The 8,136-nt window shown below is 47.5% G+C and overlaps 1 protein-coding gene across 14 annotated transcripts in view, besides 1 other annotated feature; it reads right to left on the minus strand.

Moving 5' to 3' along the window:
- The window catches only part of DNAH3 (dynein axonemal heavy chain 3), a 226,349-nt gene that overhangs the window by 216,085 nt on the left and 2,128 nt on the right, over positions 1 to 8,136 (minus strand). For 9 of the 14 annotated variants that reach the window (NM_001347886.2, XM_017023427.2, XM_017023426.2 and 6 more), the window contains exons 1-2: positions 1,556 to 1,651; positions 1,095 to 1,339 (exon numbers count right to left, since the gene is read on the minus strand). The exons of 2 other annotated variants lie outside the window; for them this stretch is intronic. In NM_001347886.2, the coding sequence (NP_001334815.1) occupies positions 1,095 to 1,124 (30 nt within the window). In that variant the 5' untranslated portion in view covers positions 1,125 to 1,339; positions 1,556 to 1,651. Of the gene's footprint in view, positions 1 to 1,094; positions 1,340 to 1,555; positions 1,652 to 3,170; positions 3,889 to 8,136 lie in introns of those variants that run through there. 3 more of the 14 variants (XM_047434349.1, XM_047434348.1, XM_011545883.1) reach the window with 3 other exon arrangements.
- Positions 3,813 to 4,107: an enhancer, noted in NCBI's record as "tiled region #1818; HepG2 Activating non-DNase unmatched - State 18:Pol2, and K562 Activating non-DNase unmatched - State 23:Low". NCBI's record gives its function as "activates a minimal TATA promoter and a strong SV40 promoter by Sharpr-MPRA in HepG2 cells, with weak activation in K562 cells {active_cell/tissue: HepG2 | K562}" and the evidence as "EXISTENCE:reporter gene assay evidence [ECO:0000049][PMID:27701403]".

Raw genomic sequence — 8,136 nt, forward strand, 5'->3', positions numbered from 1 at the left:
TCCAGCCTGGATAACAGAGACAAACTGTCTCAAAAAAAAAAAAAGAAAGAAAGAAAAAGAAAGAAAGAAATTAATGCTTAAATCTTCTCTTTGGTAAATTTCAAGGAGCTTTCACTTCAGAGCATATTGGCTTAGTTATTATCTACAAATCCACTTTAGTTTTACAAAGTTTCTATTTAAAATGCTCCTCTGGGCACTTCGCTGTATGGCAACCTGGTGATTCAACACAGATACAACAGAAATTCTGGAACTTAGATTGGGTAGAACTGTCACTTTGGGCAGCTTATTGCTGATTACACATGTTGTATGTATGTTCTTCATGGAGGCCATTCCCAAATGCTCGTCTGAGGACGTGCTACACCAGAATCACTCTGGTCTTAGATAAAAATATAGATTCCAGGGCCCCACTCCAAATCTTCTGGATCGGAATCTAGGAGTGGGGGACCAAGACTCTATGTTTTTAAGATGCTCCCCAGAATATTCTAATGTTCAGCCACAGTCAAAAACTGATGGTTGGAATATATGGTCTAATGGGCTTGGAAGGGAAGGAAAGGGAAGAACGGGTGTCTATTCCCGGATTTTTCACAGCAAAACTTGAAGATTTCCAAAAGTCTAATTCAGCAAAAATGATATTTCAAAGCAGACAACAAAAAAATGTGATGAATACACTTGTTCAGTCAAGGGCATCTAACATGCCAATTGGCCCTCTTCCCACATATTCCCAACACATTAAAAATACAGGTAAATCGGCCAGACACGGTGGCTCACACCTGTAATCCCAGCACTTTGGGAGGCTGAGGCAGGCGGATCTCCTGAGATCGGGAGTTCAAGACCAGCCTGACCAACATGGATAAACCCTGTCTCCACTAAAAATACAAAATTAGCCAGGTGTGGTGGCACATGCCTGTAATCCCAGCTACTCAGGAGGCTGAGGCAGGAGAATCACTTGAACCCAGGAGGCGGAGGTTGCAGTGAGCCGAGATCACACCATTGCACTCCAGCCTGGGCAACAAAGAGCAAAACTCTGTCTCAAAATAAAAAATAAAAAAAAAAAATACAGGTAAAACAAGAAACGTCTTAAAATTCACACCTACCTTCTGAGATGAGCAATCCATGTCACCCATGGTGTCCACTCTAATTGTAGCTATTTTTTTAAAATGAATAAAGAGCTTTCAGCTTCTCCAGGGATGTGCCTCTCCTATCCAGTTGGTCTGAAATTCACACTTCCTTATAGCATAATGGGGATGACACCAACAATGGAACTTTCCAGATGTTCTGAAAGCTCTGTTCATGAGGTTGCCTCTCTGAGGTCATAGACTTTGGCCCGCTGAGGAGTTCCCTGGTAAAAAAGGAGAGAAAGGGAAGCTAGAGATAAGGGGACAGCACTGGGTTTCTGCTGCGCTTTTGGCTCTGGTTCCTAGTCCCCCAGCGGTGGCCACGCTTCCTTTCCCTTGAGTGCTTCTCTCTTGGAAATTTTCCAGAAACACACTGAGTTCACTGCAGAGGAAAGACTGAAGCAGAGTTACACATTAATACAGAGAAGAGGGAGACTCACCCCTCCAAACAACATCCTGGCAGCCCGAACTGTTCTCCCTCCTCCTCCCTGGACTCTTAACACTGGCAGTGCTTGTATGCAGGCGCTGGGCACAGTAACCATGTCTCAGCGTCTGTTGCTAAGGGAAGGAGGGGCCTCTGCGGTGCCTACATACAAGACTGGGCATGACCTAGCTCTGTGAGCTGGTGTCTCCCTTTGCTGGAGGCCCAGGTGGGCAGCAGGAAGTGTTGGTGACAGAAGGGAACATGGGAAGGTGTTTAGCAATGTTCCAGGAATAACAGAGGCAACAGCAATAAAAGACCTTTGGAGACGTCGAAAAGCACAGAGTATGGTGGTTAAGTTCTTGGGATCTACAATTGGACAGGTCATACTTCAGATCCTACTCTTCTCATTAATTAGCTGTGTGGCTTGGCAAGTTGTTTAATCTCTCCAAGTGTCCTTTCCGTCTGTAAAATGGCAATAATGTGAGTCCCTACTTCATAGGGTTGCTTTGAAGGGTTAACGGGATAACGTGTACAGAGCGATTTGCATATAGTAGAAGGATAACTGATATTTTCCCAGTTTTTCCCCGTTTTTTTTTTTTTTTTTGAGACAGAGTCTTGCTCTGTTGCCCAGGCTGCAGTGCAGTGGCGTGATCTCAGCTCACTGCAAGCTCTGCCTCCCGGGTTCACACCATTCTCCTGCCTCAGCCTCCCACCAGTGCGCCCAGCTAATTTTTTGTATTTTTAGTAGAGACGGGGTTTCACCGTGTTAGCCAGGATGGTCTCAATCTCCTGACCTCGTGATCCGCCCACCTCGGCCTCCCAAAGTGTGGGATTACAGGTGTGAGCCACTGCGCCCAGCCCAGTTTTTCCCCATTTTAACACTAAGTCCTGCATCCTGGGAGCAATCTCAGTCCTGGGCAAACTGGGATAGTTTGATCACCCAACACAGTCAATGCTCTATAAATGTTGTGGCTAACATCAATATTACGATAAACACAGAAATACATGTGCACATACTCAAAAGTAACAATATTAGCTGCCGCCCGAATATTAAAAGCACATGTTCCATGGTCACTGTGAAGTTCTCTCAAAACCAAGTTAGACTTAATGAGTTTTTTGGGGGTGCCATGCTTGCATATCTTTTTTTTTCATTCAATTTCCCCCCAAACACCACGATATTCCCATTTTAAGGATAAGGAATCAAAACTGAGAGATATGGGCCAGGTATGGTGGTTCATGCCTGTAATCCCAGCACTCTGAAAGGCTGAGGTGGATGGATCACTTGAGGTCAGGAGTTTGAGACCAGCTTGGCCAACATAGTGAAACCCCATCTCTACTAAAAATACAAAATTAGCCGGGCATGGTGGTAGTCGCCTGTAATCCCAGCTACTTGGGGGGCTGAGGCAGGAGAATCGCTTGAACCTGGGAGGGAGGTTGCAGTGAGCACAGATCATGCCACTGCACCCCAGCCTGGGCAACAAGAGCGAAACTCCATCTCAAAAAAAAAGAAAAACAAACAAAAAAACTGAGAGATACATAACTTTCCTAAGTCGACTTGACTCATAAGTAGCACTGATACAATTGGAACCTGTCCTGATGACCCCGAGTCCACTGCTCTTTCCATAACCTACCTGTCCAGAACACAAACATTCCCGAGTTCCTATGAAAAGCATTGCATAGTGAGAGGTGACAGCGTGCTGGCAGTCCTCACAGCCCTCGCTCGCTCTCGGCGCCTCCTCTGCCTGGGCTCCCACTTTGGCGGCACTTGAGGAGCCCTTCAGCCCACCGCTGCACTGTGAGAGCTCCTTTCTGGGCTGGGCAAGGCCGAAGCCGGCTCCCTCAGCTTGCAGGCAGGTGTGGAGGGAGAGGCGCGAGCGGGAACCCGGGCTGCGCACGGCGCTTGCGGGCCAGCTGGAGTTCCGGGTGGGCGTGGGCTTGGCGGGCCCCGCACTGGGAGCAGCCAGCTGGCCCTGCCGGCCCCGGGCAATGAGGGGCTTAGCACCCCGGCCAGCGGCTGCGGAGGGTGTACTGGGTCCCCCAGCAGTGCTAGCCCACCGGCGCTGCGCTCCATTTCTCACCGGGCCTTAGCTGCCTTCCCGCGGGGCAGGGCTCGGGACTTGCAGCCCGCCATGCCTGAGCCTCCCACCCCCTCCGTGGGCTCCTGTGCTGCCCGAGCCTCCCCGACGAGCGCCACCCCCTGCTCCACGGCGCCCAGTCCCACCGACCACCCAAGGGCTGAGGAGTGCGGGCCCACGGCGCGGGACTGGCAGGCAGCTCCACCTGCAGCCCCGGTGCAGGAGCCACTGGGTGAAGCCAGCTGGGCTCCTGAGTCTGATGGGGACGTGGAGAACCTTTATGGCTAGCTCAGGGATTGTAAATACACCAATCAGCACCCTGAGTCTAACTCAGGGTTTGTGAATGCACCAATCGACACTCTGTATCTAGCTGCTCTGGTGGGACCTTGGAGAACCTTTATGTCTAGCTTGGGGATTGTAAATACACCAATCAGCACTCTGTATCTAGCTCAAGGTTTGTAAACACACCAATCAGCACCCTGTGTCTAGCTCAGGGTCTGTGAATGCACCAATCCACACTCTGTATCTAGCTATTCTGGTGGGGCCTTGGAGAACCTTTGTGTGGACACTCTGTGTCTAGCTAATCTGGTGGGGACTTGGAGAACCTTTGTGTCTAGCTCAGGGATTGTAAACGCACCAATCAGCACCCTGTCAAAACAGACCACTAGGCTCTACCAATCAGCAGGATGTGGGTGGGGCCAGATAAGAGCATAAAAGCAGGCTGCCCGGGCCAGCAGTGGCAAGCCGCTTGATCCCCTTCTACAACGTGGAAGGTTTGTTCTTTCACTGTTTGGGTTCATGCCGCCTTAATAGCTGTAACACTCACGGTGAAGGTCTGCAGCTTCACTCCTGCGCCAGCGAGACCAGAAACCCACCAGAAGGAAGAAACTCCGAACACATCCGAGCATCAGAAGGAACAAACTCCAGACGCGCTACCTTAAGAGCTGTAACACTCACCGCGAGGGCCCACGGCTTCATTCTTGAAGTCAGTGAGACCAAGAACCTACGAATTCCAGACACAATAGAACCAAGTACTTCCATTTTCCCCCTTTTTCTACTCCTTTTCCTCAAAGTTGGGCTTTCCATCCTTTCAAAATAACCCTGAGCTTTTCCATCTCTTATATTATGCTCTTTATCACAAAGTATACATACGGTTTCAAATAGCATTTGGAATAATTGAGACAGTGGGAGAGCTGGAGACTCTGGTTTAGACGGAAATGGGAAGATTATCAGGTCTCCTATACTGGGTGTGAAACCTCATGTCCCACCAAAAACAGCAACTGTAATCCAATGAAGTGAAAAATTAGAATGGGGCCAGGCGCGGTGGCCCATGCCTATAATCCCAGCAGCTGGGGAGGCCAAGGCGAGTGGATCGCCTGAGGTCAGGGGTTCAAGACCAACCTGGCCAACATGGTGAAACCCCGTCTCTACTAAAAATACAAAAAATTAGCCGGGCGTGGTGGCAGGCACCAGTAATCCCAGCTTCTTGGGTTGCTGAGGCAGGAGAATTGCATGAACACAGGAGGTGGAGGTTGCAGTAAGCTGAGATCACACCATTGCACTCCAGCCTGTGTGACACAGCGAGACTCTGTCTCAAAAAAAAAAAAATTAGAATGGTCCTGATGTGGAGCTAATGGACCCTATGGCCTGTGTGTGAGTAGGAGGTATGCTACCATCTGAAATTTAGTGTGTTTTAAGTCTACTAGTGTTTAAAACTATCAAAACAATACTAATGGCTTTCGCTTATTGAGCATATACTATGCCCTGGGACTGCTGCTAGGCACTTAGTAGACATCATGTCTTTGAATCTTCTCAACAACCTAGAATATAAATATCAGTATTTTCACAAGTTTTATGATTGAGGAAACTGATACATTAAACTAACCTGCCCATAGTCACACAGCTAGGTCATCAGGAAAGCTTGAACTTGGTTATGAAATCTGTTCCATGGCTTCAACCGAAAACCTACATGTAATCTGAGGAAAGGTGGAAAATAAAGTATCTGCCAAAGAGAGTGAAAGTGACTTCCCCCAGGCCACCTCACCTGTACCAGAATTGTTTGTTGTCTGACAACTTTGTGTTGGATAATTCTTAAGAAAGGATATAGGCTTCAAGTTTCTCAATCTTCTTTTTCTTTCTTTCTTTTTTTTTTTTTTTTGAGATGGAATCTTGCTCTGTTGCCCAGGCTGGAGTGCAGTGGTATGATCTCGGCTCACTGTAACCTCCACCTCCTGGGTTCAAGTGATTCTCTTGCCTCAGCCTCCCCAGTAACTGGGATTACAGGCGTGTGCTAACACACCTGGCTTATTTTTGTATTTTTAGTAGAGATGGGGTTTTGCCATGTTGGCCAGCCTGGTCTCGAACCCCTGACCTCAAGTGATCTGCCCACCTCCGCCTCCCAAAGTGCTGGGATTCAGGCATGAGCCACCATGCCCGGCCTTGTTTCTCAATTGGGCTGCCAGACAAAACAGAAGGTGCCCAGTTAAATTAGAGTTTCAGTCAAACAATTTTTCAGGTAAAAGAATGTTTTAGGGCCGGGAGCAGTGGCTCATGCCTGTAATCCCAACACTTTGGAAGGCCGAGGCAGGCGGATCACAAAGTCAGGAGTTTGAGACCAGCCTGACCAACATGGTGAAACCCTGTCTCTACTAAAAATACAAAAATTAGCTGGGCGTGGCGGCACATGCCTGTAATCCCAGCTACTCCGGAGGCTTTGGCAGGAGAATCATTTGAACCCAGGAGGTGGAGGTTGCAGTAAGCCGAGATAGCGCCACTGCACTCCAGCCTGGGAGACAGAGCAAGACTCCGTCTCAAAAAAAAAAAAAAAAAAAAAAAGTTTTAGTATAAGCATGTCCCATTCAATACATGGGCTGTACTTGTACTTGTACTAAAAAGTTACCCATTATTTACCTGAAATTCAGATTTAATTGAGTGTCGTGTGTTTTTATTTGCCAAATCTGCCAACATGGGGAGCAGAGGTCAGCAAGGTTCCAAGTTGCCCCTGCCTCTTGTTATCAAGAGTTTAGGGTCTTAATCTGTTGCTAAAAAAATTTCACACATTTCTTATTCAGAGGCTGGTATTCCTGGCAGCTCATTCCTGAGGCCTAAAATAGTTGTTTAAGCAGAGCAACAGTTTCAATCCTTGGAGGCTACTATAGCAAAGTACCAAAGTCTGGGTGGCTTATAAACAAGAGACATTTATTTCTCACTGCTCTGAAGGCTGGAAGTTCACAATCAGGGTGCCAGGGTGGTCTGGTTCCAGTGAAGGCCCCCTTCCATGTTGCAGGCTGCCAACTTCTCATTGTATCCTCACATGGTGGAAAGAGGGTAAGAGAGCTCTCTGGGAGTTATTCTTATTTTATTTTATTTTATTTTATTTTATTTTATTTTATTTATTTTATTTTATTTTATTTTATTATTTTATTTTATTTTATTTTAATGAGCCAGGGTCTCACTTTGTTGCCCAGGCTAGAGTGCAGTGGTGCAATCTCAGCTCACTGCAGCCTCCACTGCCTGGGCTCAAGAGATCCTCCTGCCTCAGCCTCCCATGTAGCTGGGACTACAGGCATGTGCCACTATGCCCGGCTAACTTTTGTATTTTTAGTAGAGAAGAGGTTTCGCCATGTTGCCCAGGCTGGTCTCGAACTCCTAGACTCAAGCAATCCACCCACCTTGGCCTCCCAAAGTGGTGGGATTATAGGTGTGAGCCACTGGGATCTCTTTTATAAGGGCACTAATCCCATTTAGGAGGGCTTCACCTTCATGACCTAATCACCTCCCAAAAACCCCATGCCTAATCCCATCACATTGGGGGTTAGGATTTTAGAGGAACAGACATTCAGTCCATTGCAGCAAGTAATTGGGAAAGCATAGGAGAGGCTGCGCGTGGATTTTTTTAACCCAACCACTGCATGTTCCTTGAGGGCCAAGTCCTGATGCTATGGAGAGATGCTAGGATCCCAGCCCTGGAGGAACACATGATGTGATGGAGGAAGCATCTATCACACAAAGACAAGCAAAACTCTGCTGGCCCAGCCAAAAATGCCAGAGGTGGAAGGAATTTGAAGATTCACAGAGACGCCCCTAGATGGCACTCTTAAACAAAAATCCCAGTGGAAACCCTAACTCAGCTTTCCAAAGCAACTTCCATTTAGGGAATGATGATTGGAAGGCTGTAATCTAAGGAAACACACACACACACACACACACACACACAATCTTTTCCTGGGTGGGGAACCCAGCATTTTGCAGCTGAACAAAGTGCATGACGCCAGACAAGATTGGCTAAAACTTAAGAATTTAGGGATTCTTGTCTGTCCTATCCCCACCATTAGCTCTTCTTTCTGCTATTGTGGAATTACAGCAGGATTCTGTGGTTTATCATATCATTGTCGTGATCATCATCATAAATCATCATCCCAAGCAAATATTTTTGAGCCCCTACTCTGTGCCTCAATAGGTGCTAAGTTCTCGACAGCCACAGCCACACTATTGCACCAGTCCTCACTACAACCCTGTGATT

This window comes from Homo sapiens, chromosome 16 (genome assembly GCF_000001405.40).
Source record: "Homo sapiens chromosome 16, GRCh38.p14 Primary Assembly".
Taxonomy (NCBI): Eukaryota; Metazoa; Chordata; class Mammalia; order Primates; family Hominidae; genus Homo; species Homo sapiens.